Source organism: Homo sapiens, chromosome 18 (genome assembly GCF_000001405.40).
Source record: "Homo sapiens chromosome 18, GRCh38.p14 Primary Assembly".
Classification (NCBI taxonomy): domain Eukaryota; kingdom Metazoa; phylum Chordata; class Mammalia; order Primates; family Hominidae; genus Homo; species Homo sapiens.
In genome coordinates, this window is record NC_000018.10 from 46,256,306 (window position 1) to 46,280,202 (window position 23,897).

The window sequence follows — 23,897 nt, forward strand, 5'->3', positions numbered from 1 at the left end:
GTCTCCCTTTTTATTGTTTCCTTATGCCTAGAAATGTTACAGCATGAACCACACTTATTTTTAGCTTCTTTGTTCAATGTTTCTTCATCATTAAATGTTTATCTTCTTTTTTTAAAAAAAAATATTTTTGTATCTGGAGTTACAGTTATCATTATATTTCTATGAAAACCTGGAAATTTAAATTCTCAGTTCTCCCCACCCCTAACACACACAATCCCTATTCTACACTTGAACAAAGTGACTTTGTCTACATTTTAAATAACGTTACATTATTTTCAAGGATTTTTTCTTACAGGCTCTGAAGCATAAAGCTGTGTTTTATTCTTACTTATTGGTTTGAATCCTGGGAAATCGTATCTTGTAGGTGACATCCATTTTAAAACCTCAGTGGTGGTTAAAATTGTCCGTATAATGGAATGTAGAGTTTACAGATTCTTTGGGGTATTTTTCACTGACTCCTTTATTATTTTGTGAGGGTGTCTTTTATATTGATCTTGGGTCTAGGACTGAGTCTTTCTGATGTTTTTTTCCCTCAGCAGCTTCTGTATCAGTAGCCTGCTAATCTTTCAAACATTGGGATTAAAAAGCTGAGAAGCAAGTAGGAGAAGAGGCTTTCTTGTTGGTTGCTTCAGAGTTGCCCCTTGGCTGCCTGTATCTCATCTGGAATTTATTTCTTTTACGGGTCTAGGGTTGCAGTTATGAAGTATTGATGTGCTTCTGGCAGGGTTATCACTTGGAAAAAGGTTTTAGGTTTTGATCCACATCTTTTTGTTCTCATTTGATTTGCATGTATAGAGTAGATGTTTTGTTTGGATTTAGTTGTCCTGTTCTTATTTTTTCTTTTCATATTCTACCTTGTTGTTGGGTTTTTAAGAGTTTTTAAGAACTCAGATTTGGTCCTTGAGTTGTTCTCTGGAATTGTGGCTGCCCTGACTTGTGTGGGGTGCCATTTTTCCATATTGGAAGCATTTTGTTTGGCCTTTGCACTCAGTAATTCTAGTTGTGATATGCCTCTCCCCCTCCTTTTTTGATAGTTATTTTTCTTTTCTTGCATGCTAATATCTTCTCCTATTCTTTTATTTTAGATTTTGATGTATTCATTTCTCTTTTGTGTATCCTCTAGTCCTAGACTAGAAAGCATGCTTTCTGAGCTAATGGTTGAACGCATATTTTATGATTGCCTTGTATTGCTGTGTTGAACTCCTGGTTACCTAAATGTTATTTCCAGATGTTAATTTTTGGACAGTCCAGTTTCACAGATGCTCTTTGCTAGTGAGATGGAGACTTTCCCAGCATCTCTAGTTCTTCTCTGCCCACTTAATTTTGCCAAAACTTTTAATTTACAAACCTCAGGCCAATAATTTTTTTTTTTGTCGTTGGTCCTGTTATTTTTTCCTTCTACCGACCTCATTGGTAATTGCTCTAGGAAGAGGAATACATATAGCACAGATCTGTATGTTATGGAACCGTGTTGGAACAGTTCCTTTTGGTACCTGTTCTGAGGACCTCATTCTAGTCTGTTAATCCTGTGATCATTGGCGTTAATGTTGGGTTATTCCTCAGCAAAGTAATTGGTGTAGGAAGCTGTATTTGAGACTCATTGCTTCATAGGACCAGTTGCTAATTTTTTTTTTTTTTTGAGATGGAGTCTCGCCCTGTCCTCCAGGCTGGAGTGCAGTGACACGATTTCGGCTCACTGCAACCTCTGCCTCCTGGGTTCAAGCAATTCTCCTGCCTCAGCCTCCCAAGTAGCTGGGACTATAGGTGCACGCCGCCATGCCTGGCTAATTTTTGTATTTTAGTAGAGATGGGGTTTCACCATGTTGCCCCGGCTGGTCGCGAACTCCTGAGCTCAGACGATCTGCCCGCCTCGGCCTCCCAAAGTGCTGGGATTACAGGCGTGAGCCACCATGCCCAGGCCTGTTGCTAATATTAACTCCAAAAAAAACTAGTGATACAGATGAGTGTTTCCCTACAATCACAAGGATTCATTTCCTCTTCAGTTAGGAAAAAGAAGTAGAAATGTTATCTAAGAGGTCACCTTCAGGCTGTCTGTAAATGAGAGTAAAATTGATTAATTTTAATGTTGTTTTCTTAGAATGGTAAGCTAACTATATCAAAAGTTGACCGTCAGAGCCTGCTGTGTGTGCGCGCACACACTTCATTTCCACTGTGCAGCCTTTCTATTGATATTAGTGTATGAAGAACAGGAAATTATTCTATCAAACCATATTATTTATAATTATTTTTTCCTAACATTTTGGGAAGCAAGACCCAAGCATTTTCTTGGTTATAAAATGCAAAGTATGGCTCTAGGTTGTGTTTCATACCTGTCACCAATTGCATGCAGGTTAAACACTTTGTGAGAACAAAGCCTGTATCTGCACTAATACAGATTAGTAATACAATTGATTGGACCAATTAAAAACCAGCTGAGTATGTTCCTACCTCATGTCTTTCATGATACAGAAAAAGCATATGTGATAATACATGAAACTATTTTTTTTTATGTTGCGTCACAAAATTTCGAGCCTCTTGCATCCATTATAGGACCACTCCAGAGGCTTAACAACCATTGTGCTCCCTCTTTCTCCTGAATTTTTTTCCCTATCTGGTATAAATTTTTGTGTAATGTATATTCTCTTATAAAATAGTTGAAATATTTCTCTAGCACCCTTCTGTTTACTAGATTGACTGTTTTTTCCCTCTGTAGTTAAAAAAAAATGTGTTAAAAGCCTTGTTCTGTCCTCATCCATCTCCTAACTCCCATTTTATTCAGTGTGTTTGAGATCATTAAAGTAAATAATTTTTGTGAATATTTTATTGGCTAATAACACATACAGATAACTAATAACGTACCTTTTTTGCAAACTGCTTATACCCAAGTAACAAGCACTCAGATCAGAACACAGAAGTCACTCTGAGCTTTCTTTCTTTCTTTTTTTTTTTTTTTTTTGAGACAGAGTCTCATTCTGTCACCCAGGCTGGAGTGCAGTGGCACGATCTCGGCTCACTGCAACCTCCGCCTCCTGGGTTCAAGCGATTCTCCTGCCTTAGCCTCCTGAGTAGCTGGGACTACAGGCGCATGCCACCGTGCCTGGCTCATTTTTGTATTTTTAGTAGAGACGGGGTTTCACCGTGTTACCCAGGCTGGTCTTGATCTCCTGACCCCATGATCCGCCTACCTCGGCCTCCCAAGGTGCTGGGATTACAGGCGTGAGCCACCGCGCCCAGCCACTCTGCACTACTTTCTAATTACAACCTCCCCCTTTTCTTTTCCCCGTAACTACTATCTTGACTTATTTTTTTGTTTTTATTTTTTGAGACCGAGGCTCAGCCACCCAGGCTGGAGTGCAGTAGCATGATCTCTGTTCACTGCAGCCTCGACCGCCAAGGCTCAAGCCATCCTCCCACCTCAGCCTTCCGAGTAGCTGGGACTATGGGTGCCCACTACCCCACCCAGCTACTGTGTGTGTGTGTGTGTGTGTGTGTGTGTGTGTGTGTGTGTTTGACAGAGATGGGGTTTCACCATGGTGCCCAGGCTGGTGTCGAACTTGTGAGCTCAAGTGATCCTCCCGTCTGTGTGTGTGTGTGCGACAGAGATGGGGTTTCACCATGGTGCCCAGGCTGGTGTCGAACTTGTGAGCTCAAGTGATCCTCCCGTCTCACCCTCCCAGAGTGCTGGGATTACAGTCATGATCCACTGTGCCAGCCTATTCTGACTTTTATTGATAGTTTTGCCTGTTTTTGAACAAATCTTAAAGTCACTGTTGAGCTTGGAGGGCATCTTAAAATTTTCCTTAACATTCCTGACAGATGCCTCAGCAATTACTTGAGTACTTAAAAGGCAATTCATTCCATTTCTTAGTGGCTTTGTTCTATAGCAATGATTATCTGAAACTTGCCTTCTAGAAACTGATTCATGGTTCTAAGCATGCTCTCAGTGGTTTGCCTCGAGCATGAAATAGTACCTTTCATGGTGGCTTCCACCTCACAGTGATTCTCCCTTTGGGAATTCCATGTACAACTATTAATAATTAGAGTTAGGAAAGCTTTTGACCGAAGATAGTATCATCACATTCTCCAGATAATCTAAAATTTTGAAGTAGGAGAAATAGAGAGGGTTAGGGGTTGTTCCATCATCTTAGGCTCTTTGAGGTGCCCAGTGTCCTACTAATAAATTCTCTTCATTGTTTAAAGTAGCCTAAGCTGGTTTTTGGTAACTGGAACCATTTGTAACATAACTTCAGAAGTGATCTATTTTTAGATAGTTGAAGTGCCCTGTCTCCTATTCTCTCTCCTTCAGCCATTCCTCAGTAGGAAATAAGGTCTCTAAACCTCTCACTCTCCTAGTTCTTTTCCTATGCCAGACACTTTCTAAACTCTTCTTTGCCGCTTATTGAATGGCCCTGGGAACCAGGCAGTGCTTCTTTCAGTCAAACATGATGTAGTAACTTCAGGTATAGCCTGAAGAAGGCATTGTTATTCAGTGGAAAATAAACCCTCGAGTGGAGACCTGATTTTACTCCAGTTCTATGCTTAACTTGTTTAAGAGCCTGGATGGTTGTCTTTTGGCCTAGGTTTTTTCTTCTGTATAATAAACAGATTAGATCAGATTTTTTAAAAAGCCACTGCTTGACGTTACATTGTATGATTACTTAGTGAGCAATACAGATAAACAATTGGGACTATATACTTCTTTTACTTCGGAGATATTTTTAGAAATTCTGCCAAAGATTACATTGACTCTCTTTGCCACTCGTTGCCTGAATTCTTACCAGGTTTCTAGCCAGCTTTACTTCAATTAGTGCTTATACAGGTGAGCTTTTGAATTGTCAAGTAACTTTATACTTCTAAATTGTTAGTTTGGGTCTATTTTTGTACTCTGATGATTCTTGTTGTGTTTTGCTGCACCCGATTTAATACACACATCTGTAAAGCAACAACATGATATGGAAAGCATTGGACCCAAAATCAGACCTGTCTTCCTTGGCCTATCACTTTCAAGCATTGTGACTCTGAGCAAATCATGTAACCTGTTTAAGCCTCAGTTTCCCTCTCTGTAGAGTGAGGATAGTAAATTCCATGCTTACCTCATAGGTCTGTCAGAATTGTCCAATGAGATAATATATGTGAAACTGCTTAGTAAAGGTAGTGTTCCGTTGGCCTTCAGTCATCAAAACCATTTCTATAAATGTTGAATGGACTCCTTTGGCTGACATTTTTCCATGACTACATGGTCACTTAATATGAATTTATATAATGGGTTGAACAGATGTGAATTAGACATTGGGCTTTATGTCCCTTATTTTAATGTCCCTATTTATTTCTCTAGCTAATCTTTGAAAAGGTAGTAGCCTCTGGGTTAGTAACTACATAGCCCATCTCTGGACAGATGACGGGCTTCTGGTACTGTAGCAAATTTGCGTTCTGCCCTCTGCTCTGGCCCTGAGAGATCTGTTCTTAGGAATTTTTCTTAGTAAGGGAGAAGTTATCAGATTAAGCCTTTGTAGGAGTAGGGCATGTTTGCAGGAGTTTAAGGGTCCTTGGGGCAGTTTTGCAACTGAATCGTGTCCATTGTTACCCTAATGTTCTTTTGAATCTGGTGGTGTAGGTAGCATTAAACCAAAGCTGAAATTCTCAAGTGGCCCAGCATTATTTGTTGCTTACAGATTGTCAAACAGCTGCTCAGGAGCCACTGTGGTAGTTTAGTGACTAGACTCATGCCACTTGTTACTTCTCACATAAGCTACCTGAGGGCTGGTCAGGAAGTTTAGATGAGAGGACATAGCATTGATCACATGAGTTGCCTGCCTTCCTCTCATTTGAGTCAGAACTTAGTGTTTTGGCCTGGAGGTTCACAATTCTATCATTTGACTGGACTGTGGAATTCAAACTGTCAGTGTTTCTGAAACAATTTTATTTCAGTGAACTCTTGGTGTGACTTGCTAACAAGGCAGTTCTCTCCCTCCGATAGAACCCTTTTAGTGGATCTAAACTGAAGATTCAGCTGTGTTACTTTCACGGAACCAAATTATAAGCGATTCTGTTGAATGAACCAAGTGCTTCTGTTGTGACCTTCAGGACAAGGGAAATTGATCCTTTATTCATGATCTATTACTTACAGACTTTTAGAAATTTAATCTGTGAAAGGGTATTACTGTCACTGTCTTTGAAGGCATTATTACCAATTATAAAGCTTATTTTAAGAACAAGTTTTAACTATTTTTCTTACTGTTTGATTTGTTCAGACTAAGATTGTTTGGGCATCTTAACTTTGTTCTGGATTTATGTGTTGCCCTATCATGAAGATCCCAGAGGTGTAAATGAGTCCAGAGAAACATCCTGTCACCCATGGTCAGTGACACAACTCAGGAGTTTCTGGCTGAGATAAGACCCTTGGCCTTTTTAAGGCTAAACTGAGAGAGGGACCAAGTGGGGTGTGGTGGGGTAGGGAGAGAGGGAGACAGAGATGGAGGGAAGGATATTGATTGTGGGTTTTATGAACTTGCATACTAGGTTTATCTTAGTAAAAATGTTGATAAGTACAACTGAGGTCATATTGTCTTCTGTTTTTCCTGTGGTGGAATTAACCATGCTTTTGTTCTTCATCTCAATTGCAGGTGTGTTCATCCTCGAGGTGGTGTGATTCAGAGTGTTTCTTCATGGAAGCATGGCTCGGGCACGCAGTATGTTAGCACCAGGCAAACACAGTCATGGACTGCTGTGACTCCCCAGCAGACTTGGGCTTCACCAGCAGAAGTTGTTGACCTTACCTTGGATGAGGATAGCAGGCGTAAATACCTACTGTAATACAATGTCACTGTGTTTCCTCTGCACTGTTCCCTTCCACTTCCTCATCCTCTTTGTGACATGGAAGTTCATTGTCATAGCTTCAGCTTCAGAAGCTGTTTGTGGCATTTGTAGGATTCAAACTCATGGAAAATTCCCTCCTCTTCCCCCCTTTTTTTAATTAAAAGAAGTCACTTAGGAAAATAACATCACAGAGAAAAGAATTTCTTCTTTCCCTCAGTAGGAATATAGAATGATGAATTTTATTAGACAACTTTATTTTACTTGGTGACTTTTAATCTTAGGAAACTCTGCCTTCCTTTTAGAATAATATTTTAATTGCCAGGCAAAATGGGTTTCAGTTTTTGAATCTTGTATTTATTTTTCTGTATAATGAAATTAATATCTAGACTTGACCACTATCTGCCCACCCCATTGGCACTCCCATCTTAGGGCATTCGCACACATATCAGTCAGGTCCTTATTGGCACCTAGTAGGGCATGTGCATTTAAAAACTTGTCCTTAAAAATAGAAGACAGAAGTATTAAAATTATATTTTCTTTTATTTTAAGTCTTCTGCCTTCTTTCTTGAGTTTGCTCCTGTTGACTTCCCACAGCACAGATAATTGACATGTCCCTTTGTGTTTATAAATACTACTAAGGTGACCTAGTTGTTCTCCTTGTTGCAATAATTAATAACTCTTTGCAAAATGTCTCCTTTGAGACAGAGGCATTTCAGATAGATACCCACCATGAGGTGTTCTGGGCATCTGAAGGTATTAAGAGTTCAGTGGGAAAAATCTCTCTCCCTCGCCTTTTTTTCTGGTTTAGTCAAATAACGGGTGAACATAGAAACCTGTTGGGAAGAATATGAAAAGTTATGTGGCCTCTGAGGCTACAGGCACTTGCAAATCCGAGAGGAAAGTGCCGTCTTTCATAGCTGGTCTCTGTATAAAGAGTATGTAGCAACAACTGTTTAACATCCGAGATGAAGTGGACCTGATGCTGTATTTGGGTATTTTTCTCCTCTACCTTCTAAAAAAAAATACCATAAGAAGAATCAGAATGTACCATAAGAAATCAGATGCAAAGCACGTTAATGTCATTGGTAAGTTTTACAGAGTCTAAAAGGATTAGCAAAGGGTAGCAGGAGCTTCAGGGAATTCAGGAAATGCCAGCATTGGAATTTTGTGGCATTAGTTACTACCTTCTTTCTTATAATATGTTGTAGTTACTAGTGAATTCTTTTAAAAGCAATACCTAGAGTTAGAACACTATGTACTCTGCACAGGGGGAGTGAAGTAATATTGGCTTAGAAGACTTCACCTTTTGTTTTTCATGGTTTTTGTTTGTTTTGTTTTTGTTTTTGTTTCCATTGTTACCGTTGCTATGGCCCTTTGCCTGTCTCTCCAAATCCCCTGGTGGCTCTTCTTATCATTAAGAGTATGAGAATTACCATTTTCAGTTTTCATTCAGCAAACAAATTTACCAAGTGCCTGCTCTGCATAAGGCACTGTGAGGGGTGGGTGCTCTGGGGGCTGCTGAGATGAATGACACACACCGCACATACACATGCATCAGTGTCTGCCTGCCTCCACCTGCCCAGCCTGTTCTTCTTCTTCTTCTTCATCTTCTTCTTTTTTTTTTTTTTTTGTAAAGACAAGTTTATTCCTTTACGCTTCTTGTTGCATTAGTTCTCCTGTATGTTCCTTCTTCCACAGGAATGTATTTGTGCATATGTTCTTTGATCTTCTCTGATAGCATCTCATTTGATCTGGCCTCTGTCCTTCATCAGCTTTTATTTTTTTTATTTTTATTTTCTGCTTTTGTTAGATAAGGCTTTTAAGATCATGAACCTCCAGCTTTAGCAACTCATATATCAGTCTCTCACATGGCCACAATTCTAGACAAAAACCAAAGACCCAGAGGCCAGAGCAAAGTAGGACCTTCTGAAGATTCACTACTGGTGTATCCTTGGACCTTCACATTTTACTTTAGGATTAATTTATTGAATTTTACTGTTACACATAGTTTTTGACTTGAATTAAAATACTAGACAAAGCAGAAATGTACAATTTCTGGTCTGTGTTTTCCAGGAAATTCATAGAGAAGAGAATAGAGTGGATGATGTGACTTGAAGTTTTTGCAGCTTATTTTTTCCCCCACTGTCAGGGCAGAGGCCCATTTTAATGAATGTTTTTGCATGACCTGTTCTTATGTTAACCACATATTTTTTTTCCCAATTCCACACAGCAGGTGATTTCCCGTGTGACATATTTTCTTCATAGTCCCTAATATAGTCATCCTCTACAGAGTTGGCGTGCTGTGTGCACTGTGGATTAGGAACAGAGTGGAGCTGTAACCAGTCTCTTCTCTGGCCCTTTGCCTTTATGTCAGCTTGCACTTTTGCCTCACTTATTCCTAGTCCAGCTCCCAACTGCCTGACTTAATGGACCAGAACGGAGATTTGGATATTAAGATGCAGAGGGGGAGGGGAAGGGATGGTAGAGATAGACAGCTCTCCCCTACTAGGTTGGGTCATTTCCCCTAATAACTATAGAGAGACTGTGTTTCAACTCTCTTTTCATTGCTGTTTCCAGAAGAGTGGAGAGTGTGGTTTCAGGCAAGGTATTAATGATACAATTCCGTGGTATACAGCTCCTGTGACATTTGAAGTTTCTTTTAAAGGGGTTTTTCTTAATCAAAGTTTTACATTTGGTAGCATAAGTAGTTCTTTATGCTTCACAGGACATTGTCTTCAGAGTAATCTCTCTGCTAAAATGGTACATGTGGGTCACAGATTGGTTTATGCCACTGACTTGGTTAAGTTTCCACCCCCTCCAATTTGTGAAAAACAGAGCAGTGACCTAGCTGTTGCATCATCATGACTGCCATGTAACCTGTAATTGCTGCTCTCCAGTAATTGTCTTTTCATTTTGATGGTAGGGGCCAGACTGAATGAATAATGCATTCTTTTTTATTCAATTTATTTCATTCAGTTTATTCTTGGCAATCAAACATCCCATAAACTTTGCTTTTATTATCAATTATGAATATGAATTGTCTGGTTTACTAATGTAGTCATTTGTTCATCTTTACTTTTAGCAGATTAGCACCATAACTAACTTAAAACTAAGTTTGTTACCTGCTTTTTATACTGTCACAAAGGTTTTTGAAAAAGCTGGGGACACTATTTTGTCTTTTAGTTTTAAACTTTTTTAAGGCAAAGCAAGCTCCCCAATCCCTGTTCTCCAATATGTGTATGATGTGACTTCCATGTAGATATAAAAATGATTGTGCCCTAACCAAACTTCCTCAGATTGTGCACTGTTTGTTTAAAATAATCACGTATTTTAGTCTGATGCTGTTGTATTTTTTCATTTTATTTAAAACACTACTTACTTCTTATTCTCTTAACAAATTTTAAAAGGTAGTGATCTTAAAAAAAAATCACTGGATAACTAGGAAATATTTTTGTTGTTGTTTTGTTTCTTAAAGAGTACAGAGGCCATTGAAGCCTTTTGCTCCTCTTACCGTGAAAATGAAATGTTAGCCATTGTATGGCTAGGAACCAATGCACTTGGCAGTTAATGGATCTGCTGTTGCTGGAGTGTGAGCGTGGACTTGATGCAGTGATGACAAATCATTGCTTAGAATTAATGTTTTCAAATGTGCAACTCTAGTTTTTAAAACAAAATTTGGTTCTTTACATTCATTATTTCGTTTTTGTTTCCCTTTAGTATTTAATGGTCTTTGGAGAAAAAATAATAAAACAGAGTGTTATATATATATTTTTTGGTGCAAGATAAGATTTTCTGTTTTTTGAAATAAGTCTGTAGCATAAAGGTTAAACTATTTTAAGACAAAATAAAATAGAGTGTATTTAAACAATGATATCTTCTGAGGTTTTTTTTTTTTTTTCTTTGTCCCTATCTGCTTCAGTTAATTAGGTGGTACCTGGAGCAATTTCCAAGTTACCTTTTAAATGTGAAAGTGGATTCTATTTTGTTAACAAGTCTTATCTTTATAAGATGTCTGAGTTTTCAAAGCAAGAGCTGTATCCTTGCAAGGTTACTTGCAAAACTACTCCCAAGAAGTTTTGCAAGTAACCTTGGATAATTGTTGGATGTTGATAAAAATAGCTTTGCATTAGCTTTCCTGTAACCCCACCTGAGATTTCAAAGAGGGCCAAAGACTTATTGTTCTGGGCACCTTTACTCCTGGCAACAAAACTTCACTGCTGGTTATTACTTTGCAGAGATCAGAGAGTCAAGGTAAGATGCTGCAACGGCATGCACTTTGCATGTGGTTAAACATTGAAGCAGGTATAGGGTGTTTGAAAAATAGACTGAATAATTTTTTCCATAGTTTGGTTCTATTTTCAGATTTTTAATTTGGTTATTAAAATGATAGGAACTACCATATTAACACCTCATGATGTTTGTAACTTATCTTCACATAAAGGGGAATGAGGAACCAGGGAGAGTGAAACCTCTTTTTATTAAAACATTCAACTCCTGAATCTCTTAGTTTTCCTCAAGAATTTTTGGTTCTGCTTGTACTGGAAAATGATCTGTTAACAATTAGGAAACACAATATTAACTAGTAGGAAATATCTTCAGATTTTTGAAATTGTTCTTTTATACCACCCTGTATCTGAGACGTAGACATATTAATACCTATAAGAAATCTTTGGCTGGGTGCAGCGGCTCATACGCCTGTAATCCCAGCACTTTGGGAGGCCGAGGTGGGCGGATCATCTGAGGTCAGGAGTTCGACACCAGCCTGGCCAACATGGCGAAACCCCGCCTCTACTAAAAATACAAAAATTAGCTGGGTGTGGTGGCGTGTGCCTGTAATCCCAGCTACTCAGGAGGCTGAAGCAGGAGAATCGCTTAAACCCAGGAGGCAGAGGTTGCAGTGAGCCAGGATCGCGCCAGTGCACTCTAGCCTGGGCAACAAGAGCAAGACTCTGTCTCAAAAAACAAAAAATAAAAATAAAAAAAGGAAAACTCTTCTTTGACTCTAGAAGGAAACTGTTTACCTAGGATCTCACGTTTGAACCCTTTTGCCCTTGGATACTGCTTTTGAAGAAGAAACTAGGCACAAGTAAGTAATATAACCTGTAGCTAGTGCTTTATGTCATTTGGGCTGCTTCTTTCTGTTCTTTTGCAGGCATTTGGCCTTTCCTTCCCTTACTGTTTTGTTTTTCAGAGTAGATACCAACTATTTATAATTATAGTCTAATTACAGATAAAGAATCTTTACCAAATATATATGTATCTTTTCAGCTCCATTTTTGCAACCTAAGTAAAGTGAATTTCTTCTAGGTTTTGTTTTAACCACACTTGGAACCAAGTGCTCTATGAAAGAGCGATCCTCCTAGGTCATTGGTAGGCACGATTTTTTTTTTTTTTTCATGATTCCATGATTGAAAGCACTGATTCATAGAATTAGAGAGGTTCTGGCCTATAGTGGAACTTTGGCTGGGAGAATCTGCCTGGAGCAGAAGAAAGCAACAGTAAGTAGTGGTAGGAGCAGTGAGTTCAGAAAAAGATGCAAGTAATGATCATGAGTGTCAGAAATTTGGAAGGAGCACCCATTCACCTGATACTCTCTGTTGGTTTAATTCATTGTACACGTGACATGCCTTCTAGGTGGTGATGGCTTTAGGCAGGGATCTCTCTGTGTGATGAGGATTCCCTGCCAAGCCTTGAGGACCCATTTGATAGGGTAGTGTGAATGATGAGAGTGAGTGCTGGCAGCGAAGTCAGCCCTCAGAAAGGAAGTGTGGCAGCAGCAGCTGGTATAATCTGCTCATAGACCCTGGCCTGCTGTTGGGAACACACCTTGGTTGTAAATTATATCTGTCTAGCTTCTTACCCTTTAGTGAAGGAAGCTATTTGGTGCCAACTTTTTCTTTTTTATTAAAATTTTTTTTTCCCCATTGGCCTTGCTGAAGCTTTTAGAAGATACCAGCTTTTTCTTTTGTGCTTTGGTAATTGACATCTCAGAGTCACATCTGTTCCCCTTTCATGATTGCTCCATCCCGAGAGTGGAAAGGTAAAGTGTAGTGGACTGTTGAGCCCTCACTTTTGTGACTGATTCTAAAGCAAGCAAATCTGACTTGAGGATGGATCTTGAATTCTGCAGCATGAGAGGGTTAGATCAGAGGCCAGGTGAGTGAGTTTAGGCCTGACCCAGGGAACAGGAGATCCCAGAAAGGCCAAGTGACTGCTATAGGATTTAGTTTCTGCACCTGTAAAATGAAGAATGTCTTGGGTTTCTTTTTTGAAAGTAAAAGGCTATGTGATTTTAGGGGATGATTCATTGTTCTGCAGAGCCATCAGGCTTTTCAAGCAGTAACTCAAGAGAGCTGCTTACTCCAAAAAACTGCTCAAAAGACTGTAGTTCTGTCATCTCACTTAAGCCTTGGGAAGGCTTTGGATGACTAACACCAACAGAACCTTGAATTTCTACAAGCGATTTTCAAAGTTTTAAAAGAATGTTTATTTCAAAAGTTTCACATGGGGTAAGAAGTACAGATTATTATCCTAATTTTACAGATGGGAAAACTGGTAACAGAAGAATAACTGTGTATTTGGATTTACATAGGTAGACTTTGTGAGAGTAGATGTTTTAAAAAAATGACTCAAATTAGTACCTTTTAACTGTTCAGAAAAACAAAACCTCAATTTTCTGGTTTTCCTGCCCATTTTCTCTGCTTCTTCACTTGGGGCAGAGAAAAAGCAAGTTGCAGAATATGCACTACATGCTGCTATTTGTTTGAAATTTTAAAAGACAATATAATACTGCATACAGATAAAGGATACATACACATCTAGTAAGAGTATAAACATGCATGAGAATAATAAACACCAAATTCAGGGTAATAGTTGCCTCTGGAAGGGGAGGTATGGAGGGGTCACAGAGGACTTCAGCTTTATTGGTAAAATTTCATAAGTTGGGTAGCAAGGACACAAATGTATGTTATTCATTGTACCTTTTTGTATATTTTAAATATTTCATAATCAAATTTTTTCCTGAGAATGAAAACTCTTTTGTGACTTTCCCAATGTTAGTGGAAACAAATAAGATCTGAAGCTGATTCCCTTTAGAAACTCTCAACACTTCTTAGCTATGTTCACCAAATGCGTGAGCATTGATAAATTAGACTTTATCAAAAAAAAAAACTTGTGCCTCAAAGGACACCATCAAGAAAGTAAAAAGACAGCCCACAGAATGGGAGAAAATATTTGGAAATATTGAATCTGATAAGAGACTTGTATCTGGAATATATAAAAAACTTGCAACTCAATTCTAAAAAAAAAAAAAAAAAAAAATCCAATTAAAAAATCAGCGAAGGATCTGAATAGACTCTTCTCCAAGGAAAATATACAGTTGGTCAATGAGCACATGAAAATATGCTTAACATTTCCATCAGAGAGATGCCAGTCTAAACCACAATGAGATACGACTTCATACCCACTAGGATAACTAGAATAAGAAAGATAGGTATTGGTGAGGAAGTGGAGAAATCAGAACTGTCATACATTGCTGGTGGGAATATAAAATGGTCAGCCACTTTGAGTTTGGCTGTTCCTCAAATGGTTAAACCTAAGAGTTACAATGAATGTTGATAGCAGCATTATTCATAATCGCCAAAAGGAGAAAGAACCCAAATGTCCATCAGCCAATGAGTGGATAAACAAAATATGGTGTAGCCGTGTAAGTGAATGTTACTCGGCTGTAAGTAGCAATGAAATGCCAATACATTCTACAACATTGATAATCCTTGAAATCACGATGTTAAAGGAACCAGTTACCAAAGACCACATATTATTCCATTTACAGAAAATATCCAGAATAGATAAGTCTATAGAAGTAAAGTAGATTAGTGGTTGCCAGAGGCTGAAGGAGGTAGAAATAGGGAGTGACTGCTCATAGGTAAGGGGATTCTTTTTGGGGTCTTGAAAATAGTCTAAAAGTAGAGTGGTGATGGTTGCATCTCTGAACATTTCAGTAGCCCACCCTTATCCATGGTTTTGCTTTCTGTGGTTTCAGTAACCTGCCAATTGCAGTCTGAAAATATTAAATGGAAAATTTCAGAAATAATTCATAAGTTTTAAGTTTCACACTGTTCTGAGTAGCATGATGAAATCTCACACCGTTCCTCTCTGTCCCACCTGGGTCATGAATTATCCGTTTGTCCAGCGCATCCATACTGTATATGCTGTCTGCTCATTTAGATACTTACTAGCTGTCTTGTTTATAAGATTGATGAAAAGAAGAGTGAGTATAGTACGGTAAGATTTGAGAGAGACAACATTCATATAACATTACTGTATATTGTTAAAATTCTATTTTGTTAATCTCTTACTGTGCCTCATTTATAAATTAAACTTTAGGTATATATGCATAGGAAAAAACACTATATATAGGGTTCAGTACTATTCATGGTTTCAGGCATCCACTAGGGGTCTTGGAATCTATCCCCGGCAGATAAGGGGACTGTTGTACTAACCAGCATTGAATTGTGCACTATAAACGGGTGAATTTTATGGTATGTGAATTATATCTCAATAAAGCTGTTACATGAAAATACACATAACCTTTGGAATTGAGGGTATAGTGCCTTAAGCTGTTAATACCATGTTGTGAATAGGTACCACACTTGAGAAAATGAGTTGAGATAGTGGAGGAAGAAAGGATAGTAGGAAGGTATAACTCAGCTACAGGGGACCCCAAAGACCAAGATGGCAGTTACTGAAGGCAAGCATGACCAACTTTCTCCCTGGCTGCAGGCTTCCCTGACCCCGAGATGTGCCTTTAGTGGGAGACCTATCCTCTGTGAAGAGAAATGTAGCTTGCTGAGGTTTCTGTGCCTTCCAAACCTGCCACCCAAGGGCGAAGATTATTCAGAAAGAAACTAACCTTTATTCCCTGCTGAAATTAGAGTGCTTATCAACTTCCAGGGAGTGTTCCACAGACAGGCTTTTGGGAGGTGGGGTGAAGGATGCAGGCGTTTTTCCCCTCTGGGCAAGAACATCACCATAGCTTGTGAGTTCCTGGGCCTTCCCCTGGCTTTTGCCCAGAAAGTTTTGCAGTCGCTCCGACATACCTGCCAGAGAGCCCATAACTCTATCCTTGGGCAGTGAGGTGGGGATGGGGATGCTTTCTCATTATACATGCCCTTTCCTTCTGAGATGCTGCTTCCATGATTCCCACTCCCTCTCTTGGTTGCAAGCTCTGAGAGTCACTGTCATAACTGCTGAAATTTCGTGGCATTCCTTAGGGCTGTGAAGGCAGAAAACATGCTGGGACCTTGGCTTCAGTCAGTGCTGGGCACTTCTCTTTGGTCTATTTAATAGTCTTCTACATCTCCTCAAGTCTTGGCTAAATTCTTGCTGATTAGCTCTTTGGGCTCTTGGTAGAGTGGATTCATTTGCCATAACATTAAAAGTGGATATCTTAAGAATGCAAACCTTTTATTCAGGTGAAATATTCAAAAATTTTTCAGCATCCTTTCAGGCACCAACCAGTTAGAATTAACACTGGAGGTGTGGCTGCCACAAGTTCCTGGCAACCGCAGTCTGTGACAGATATGGAATTAACCCTAACACTGCTACACTGTGTGAATCCTGGCAGGGCTGCCAGGGTGGTGAGGAAGGCACTCAAGCAGCTCAGGGCAGGGGCCCCTTACCAGCTGGAACTGAAGTATGTCATTGTTTTAACAGCCAATAGAACCAAAGAATACATTCGCTTAACCTCCCCGGACCTCAACTTCTTCACTCATAAAATGGGGATAATAGTTCCTACCTTACAGGATTGTCATAAAGAGTTAATGAGTGGAGGCCTAGTTCACTCCATCCATCTTGTCAGCTCTACATTGGTCCTTGTTTGGCTAGCTCAGCTGAGAAGTGTGCATAACAAAATCTGTCTGTAGGCCTGCCGTCTATTTCACAGCAACACAGTTAAAGCATTACATGCATCCTTGAGACATAAATGAAGTACTTTAGAGAAAGGAGCAAGCAACAGTTGGGTATGTGATAACTGGCCTGGGGTGGTGAAAAGTCACAAGTCCCAAGATCTAGTTTTGGGTCATGTCTTCATTGCTAACAAGCTGTGTGACCTACGAGGCCAGCCACCTCTCTGGTTCTTACCTTCTTCATCTCTAAAAGGGAGGATAGTTGTATGCCTACCACCGTCCCTAGATTTGGGGGGAGGGATCAAATAAGGTAACAAGACAGCAGTTTGGAATTTGCAGATTCAGATGACTATAGAAGCAAGGCTGTTAATGGAAATAATTCGTTGGTCCAGATAAATGGGGAGTGTGGCAAACTGGATAGAGTTTATGCCAGTCTAAAGGAGGAAGCTGCAACTGTTATGAAAGTAAATGTTCAGTATTGCCATATCTATGGATTTTTCAAGAAAAGATGGAAATCTGGATTTTAAAAATGTAGATGTGGAATTTCTGATTTGTAAATGTTCATGTGTGGCCATGGTCAGGTCTACTGAATATAAAGCTTGAAAAGACCTGTTGGTGCAGGAAGAAAGAAAAATTGGGTGGACTGTCACCGATGTGCCACCTTCCCCACTCCACACTGTGAGCCTTCTTGGCACGGGATAAAAAACAGCCTAGGGTGGTTCTGGTGTTCTGACCCCCATTTTTGTGCAGACTACTGAGACCTGGAGTTTTAATTGAGGTACTGCTGTAAGGGACTGAGTGCACCCAGGGAGCTGTGGTCACTTGCATCCTTGGTCTGACGTTTCCTGTGTACATCTCTGGCTGGCTAGACAGATAACCAAAGAGAATGGAGGCCAGCTCTGGGTCATCAGTCTTGAAAGTCTTATAACCTGGATCAATCCTGTTTGTCCTCTCAGCCAGGAACTGTGTGGGCCAAACAACACTTGTCTGCAGGACTGGTTTAGCTTGAGGGCTGGGGGTTTACTACCTCTGGACTATGCACATTTCACTGGTTGAGCCAGTGCTTGGTATTTGCTATGTGCTAGGCACTCAGCCAGACCCTGGGGCAATCCTCATCCTCAGGTAACTACCTCTGTCTGGTGTAACAAACTATTGTCACAAAACCTGACAAATGCTGCTAAGATTAGCACTCAATGCAGGGTGCTTTGAGAACAAAAAGGCTCCCTAAACTAGCTGGTGGGATGGAATGAATGAATGATGGAGGAGCTCCTGGAGAAGGCAATAGTTCAGCTGAGTTTGAAGGATGAGTAGGAATTAATGGAATCCAGGGAGGTAAAGAGTGGAGGGTGTGGGTAGGAGTCATTCAGATTCAAAGTTCAGGCATGGCATGGAGGTGAGAGAGAGCATGGCTCAGTAGAGGGACTAGTAGTTGGGAGAAAGCAGAAGTGATAGGGAGCAAGCTGGAGACGTAAGAGCTATGTGGCAAAGGACCTTGAATGCCTCACTAACATTCCACAGACATTCCACCTCTGGAAACCAATAGAACATGTTTATTACCTGCAAAAAGCCTACTGTTGGAGGTAGAAAATGGGCATCTAGATACATAAATGCAACAAAGATGTACCTCTGAAATGATGGGGAACAATGTAAGTATTGTATAGAAGAGAGGAATAAGAGCCACTCTCCCTGGCAGTGGAGTGAATTAGAGGAGAATTGATATTGGAAGTAGGGAATTTTATTAGGAAGCTTCTGCAGGCATCAAAACAGATAAATGATGAAGGCTGAATCAAGGCAGTGGGAGGGGAAATGGAAAGGAGAGGTCAGAATGAATAAAGTTTGAATCTGTAGGACTTGTTCATGCAGTGTTGGCAGGGGTGAGGGATGAGGTGCAGAGCCCATGGGTGAGGAAGAAAGGAAGAAAGGCTGCCAGATGTTGCATTCGCTAAGTAGGAAATACAGAAAAGGCATCAGGTTTGGAGAGTGTAGCAGATGCTTTTGGGTCACATGTGCCCTCTGAGGTGAGGATAAATTAATTGCCTTTTGTATCCTCCATCACAGTGGTCCCCAACCTTTTTGGCACCAGGGACCCATTTTGTGGAAGAAAGTTTTTCTGGGGGCTGATGGGGGGAATGGTTTCAGGATGAAACTGCTCCACCTCAGATCATCAGGTATTAGTTAGATTCTCATAAGGAGCATGCAAACTAGATCTCTCGCATTTGCAGTTCACAATAGCATTTGTGCCCCTATGAGAATCTAATGCCACAGCTGATCTGACAGGAGGCGGAGCTCAGGTGGTAATGCTTGCTCACCTGCTGCTCACCTCCTGCTGTGTGGCCCAGTTACTAACAGGCCACAGACGGTTACTGGTCTGCGACCAGGGGGTTGGGGACCCTTGCTCTGCCATTAAGAAGAACACATGGTGCTCTTTGGCTTTGGAACACAACACATACCATATTTAGAAATACTGCTCCAAGCCATTTATTGCATGACTTGGAGCAAGGAAAGGCTCTGCAGCACAAGCCAGGCTACGATGCTAGCTGCCCTGTCACTTGGACCATATGACCCAGCAAATCCACGATGCTGGAAGTATTCCCAGTGGAGAGACATGAAGTGTGGAGTCTCTGGCAAGCTGCAATAGGAGAGGTGTGTTATAGATTTCCTAAGGATTTTGGAGCAAGGCTATGCCTTCTGCAGCAGAGAACTATAAACATTTTGAAAAGCAGATCCCAATGTGTTTTGGGTCCTGGTAGAGACAGAGCATCTGACCATTGGATATAATTAATCAAGACATCAGAGATGTTTATCATGAGCTGGGTTTTGTGCCACTCAGGTCATAAATTCAAGCAGGCCAACAGCAATTCATTCTAAGATGGAAGGTGTACAGCTCAGGGATCAGGCATGAGCAGGGCCAGAGGGTAAAAGTAAGCTGCACATGCCTCTTCCTCAGGCCCCCAAGGCTGGCACCTTGTGGCATTAATGACTCTCCTTCACTTCACACCAAAGATTTTCTTGTGACTACTCTAGAATAATCCTAGGCCTAGTTCATTGTGTTGGTGTTAGCCAAAATGGACTGCTGTTTCTACTTAAAGCCCCAGTTAAGGTAGCTCTGAAAGACAGTGGGTAGGGGAAATTCTTGCAGTGGGCAGAGCTTCAAGCCTGTTCATGTACGCCTGCTCACCAACTTAGAAAAGAGGGGAAAAGTATCCAGGCCACACAGAACTGTCTGTCACAGTTGTAGCTGAAATCAGAGGTTGAAGAAGGGGATGCGATGAAATTTCTGATTTGTAAATGTTCGTGTGTGGCCATGGTCAGGCCTGCTGAATATACAGCTTGAAAAGACCTATTGATGCAGGAAGAAATAAAAATAGGGTGGATTGGAAGTGCCACCTTCCCCACTGCACACTCTCTGAGCCTCCCTGGCATGGGATAAATCTACCACTCCAAGCCACTTAATGCCCCACATTAAGACTGTCTTGCCACTGAGTCTTCAAGGTGGCAGCCAGTCATCTCGTAAAAATACTTTGTACAGGAAAGTAGAACAGGCTACAACCTTGCTCACTGCTGCAGCAGATCTGGAGGCTGAAATTGCTGTTCATTGTCTTCCTTCTCTCTATTCTAGATTGTCCTTATTGCAATACATAGGAGTGTATGTATTTCTGTTGCTTGGACTGTATGACTTAGGGTTCCATAAGAATACATATGGAATCTTGGGCAGCAAATGGCTTGGTTGGTCAGTAAGGGGCCTGAAAGGGAAAAGATGAGAAAGGAGACAAGGAGGTCTGGGGAAGACGCATGTGGATGATCCCATGGGAGTGGGCACAAATGCTTCCTAGAGAGCATCCACCATGGGAAGGGTGCCGAACAGCAAGATGGACAATGTGACTCACCCTGTAGAGGCCAGCTTTGTCCCCAGGGCTTGCACAGTAAGCCTATGAATGGAGTAGCCATGGTGACCAGGATGGAGGTGAGGCATGGGCCCACGGAGATAGCTACTGCCACTGCTGACTGGTGATCTGTCAGTGCAGAGACAGGCCCTGTGCCTTTGATCAGCCAGCCACTTGAGGCATCTTGACTACACCAGGGCCCTTCTACCTTGGAAAGGGCAGCAAATCCTTTTTCCTGGTGTTGCTACCTCTGGTGTTAAGCTGAGGGTTTCTGGAGTGCCTGATTTATCTACATATGATGCCTCATCACATCACTGTAGATTAAGAGGCCCATGTTGTGGCAAATTAGGTGCAATAAGGGTTGCATGACCGGGGGTTCACTGATGTGGTTATATACCGCAACTAGGGGAAGCCATGGACCTAATAGAATGATGGGATGGCTTGTTAAAAACTCAGTTTCCCAGAGTCAAACCATAAAGGTAAACAAAAAACAACAACAAAATATATATATATATATATATATATATTTAAAAACTCAGTTAAGGTTCCCAACTCAAGGATGATACACTGGGATTGGCTATTGTCATTCAGGATATAGCTGATACGTGGTACCAGTTGCTGGAACACACAGATTCGGGAATCAAGGGTAGATACAGGATTGGTCCCTCTCACCATCACTCTCAGTGATCCACTAGCACCAAGGTGAAAGAATGTCTAACATTCAGAAAATACACTCAAGAATAGGTCTGAAATCCAGGAGAATGTCTCTTGGTGCCATGGGCCCTTGTAGCAAGCATGGCCTGAAAAAGCGAAGTCACCTGAGGGCTCAGACCCCCAGGGATATCAATAAGTGTCAACCCATCAGGCAAGCAACCTGGAACAGCCCAAATGCTGAAAATGAGGAAAATCCTGAATAGAGGCTGGAGAAGGAAGACAATGAACAGCAACGTCAGCCCCTGGATTTACAGCAGCAGGGAGCAGGGTTGTAGCTCCTTCTGTTAACTTTCTTGTATGAAATCTTTTTGCTAGATGTCTGGCTACCACCTTGAAGACCCAGTAACAGAATGGACTTAATGAATGTGGGGCATGGGTGGATCAGAGTGGTGCAAGCAGGGAGTAGACCACTTTCCATGTCCTGCGTCACATCCCCTTCCTCGGCCTCTGACCAGCTGCAGCTGTGGCAGGCAGTTCTGTGTGAGCTTGGACTCATGCTGACAGCACCCCGATTTCCATCACACGGAGTGCATCATTCAGATTTCTATTTCAGCTCCTCCTCCGAAGTCCCAGGAGTCTGTTTGGCTTGTGTGACTCAAGCAGAGCCCAGAAATTAGGGGAGTTAATGGCCCTGGGACAACCCTCAACAATGGAGGATGGGAGCCGGTAGACATATGCCCCAGCCTCTTTGAGTTGGACAGTTCTGGGAAGCATTCTGTATGTTTTTCAGGAGATCCCAGCGGAATTGAGCCCCCATTGCTCATGGCAGTGACTTTGATGATGGACCTTATATTGGCTTTTCCTCCTCACTCTCACTTTTTCATTCTCCTCAATTCCTCACTTCTATGTCCTGAGATCAACTCCCAGTTAAACCACCTGCATCTAAATCCTTGTCTCAATCTCTGCTCCTAGGAGAATTCAAACTAAGACAGGAAGGAAAAGGTCAAGTTCACTCTGAGCTTGACGTGCTGAAGAGACATCCCGTGGAAATGTGCAGCAGGCAGTGGCCACGTGACTTTTGGAGATGCTGATTTATGTATCAGCATGTGGTGACAGATAAAACCACAGGCTAGAGAAAATGCATTCCTAAGAGGCCAGTGCAGAGGCATCCTTCCAAGGCAGGGGTTCTCAACCACGAGCCATTTTACCCCCCAGTAAATATTTGGCAATGCCCGAGGACATTTTTGGTTGTCACAACGGGAACAGGAACCTGCTACTGGCATCTAATGAGTAGAGGTGAAGGATGCTGCTGAACATCCTACAGTGCACAGGTCAGAACCCCATAACAAAGAATGATCCAGCCCAAAATATCACTAGTGCCGAGGCTGAGAAACCTGTTCTAAGGGCATTGCAAAGTACCATGAGAGTGATGCTGTGAAAGCTGGTTTCACATAGCCAGAGGGGCCAGCAGGCAGTGCTGCAGGGGCCATGGGAAGTAAGAACCAATTATTGCCCATTGAGCTCAGCACCATGGGGCAGAAGCCAGTGCCTTGAAGGCAGTCGATGAAGATGAGTACAGACTCTTTCCAGGAGCTTTGAGGGGAAGGAAAAGAGCAAGTGTTTGGGCTTAGCCAGAAGGAGCTGTAGAGTCAAGGAAGAGTTTTAAAAGATACTGGAATGATAAACATCCTGTATATGCTGATGACAAAGCACCAGTTGGGACACCAGAAAGGGATGACTGATGGAAGAGAGAGAGCCCCGGGACATAATGTGGTACTCAAAGCCAGATGAACTAACTTGGATCAGGTAAGGAAAACCTTCCCTGGAAGCTGGAAGGAGGCAAGGGTGGGCATAGTTATACCTACAGTTGTCAGGGAGGAAGGGTAGACTGTCGAGAGAGTTAACCTGTGAGCCTTTTTTGTTCTTTGCTTGTTTTGCAGGCTATAAGTGCAGAAGTGATAAGGTAGGAGGCCTGGTATTAATACCTCCTTGTTGATTGATTACATATGGTGGTTTACTGCAGTTTGCATTGCTCTGCTTTCCCGAGGGTCTTCTTGGGAAGTTTGTCCTTCTTTCCTGGTGTGTTTTAGAGGTAAACACAGGGCTATCCCAGAAACTCGGGTTTCTCTTGAGATGCCAGCTGAGACTCCCGTCTTCTCTGTGGAAAGCCCTGTGGAAACTCAAAGTTCACTCCAAGATGTTTGTGGACTTCAGGTGTAGGTTCTTGGGGTTACCTCTGCCTCTTGGTTCCTGTGTCTGCATGTGCTCCCTCTGTTCTGCCATGGACTTCAAACTTGGACATGAAACCTTTCTCTTACTCCACAGAACTGCCAGGGCCCAAGCATTTGGGTGTGGGCTGGGTCTACTGTAGATCTTGTAGTACCCTCGTACCATTTTGTGAGCACCTTGCGATCCTCGTTTCTTCACTGCTCCTCATCTGTTTCCCTGCAAATTTCCCCATCTCCAAATCCCTCTTCGACTATTTACCCAGCTGTCCTGAGCTCCCCACCCCGAAACAGGCTTAGCTCAAACTATCATGGTGCACAGTAGATAAGAAAGCCTCCTTTTAGTCGAATTTACGCTCCAATAGAAGGCGGTTATTGTGAAAAATAGTGAAAATGTACTATCTGTAAGGCCA

General features: G+C 41.5%; 1 protein-coding gene across 4 annotated transcripts in view, besides 3 other annotated features; it reads left to right on the forward strand.

Annotated features, from left to right (window-relative positions):
* ARK2N (arkadia (RNF111) N-terminal like PKA signaling regulator 2N) overlaps positions 1-10,687 on the forward strand; it is a 93,440-nt gene extending 82,753 nt beyond the window's left edge. For all 4 annotated transcript variants that reach the window (XM_011525822.3, XM_017025555.2, NM_145055.5 and 1 more), the window contains one exon: positions 6,624-10,687. In XM_011525822.3, coding sequence (XP_011524124.1) covers positions 6,624-6,813 — 190 coding nt within the window. In that variant the 3' untranslated portion in view covers positions 6,814-10,687. The remainder of the gene's footprint in view (positions 1-6,623) is intronic.
* Positions 2,755-3,319: an enhancer, noted in NCBI's record as "H3K27ac-H3K4me1 hESC enhancer chr18:43839023-43839587 (GRCh37/hg19 assembly coordinates)". NCBI's record gives its function as "activates a minimal SCP1, AML or CMV promoter by ChIP-STARR-seq in primed H9 embryonic stem cells {active_cell/tissue: H9 hESC(primed)}" and the evidence as "EXISTENCE:reporter gene assay evidence [ECO:0000049][PMID:30033119]".
* Positions 3,320-3,883: an enhancer, noted in NCBI's record as "H3K27ac-H3K4me1 hESC enhancer chr18:43839588-43840151 (GRCh37/hg19 assembly coordinates)". NCBI's record gives its function as "activates a minimal SCP1, AML or CMV promoter by ChIP-STARR-seq in primed H9 embryonic stem cells {active_cell/tissue: H9 hESC(primed)}" and the evidence as "EXISTENCE:reporter gene assay evidence [ECO:0000049][PMID:30033119]".
* Positions 5,259-5,760: an enhancer, noted in NCBI's record as "OCT4-NANOG-H3K27ac hESC enhancer chr18:43841527-43842028 (GRCh37/hg19 assembly coordinates)". NCBI's record gives its function as "activates a minimal SCP1, AML or CMV promoter by ChIP-STARR-seq in primed H9 embryonic stem cells {active_cell/tissue: H9 hESC(primed)}" and the evidence as "EXISTENCE:reporter gene assay evidence [ECO:0000049][PMID:30033119]".
* Positions 10,688-23,897: the final 13,210 nt, after the last annotated feature.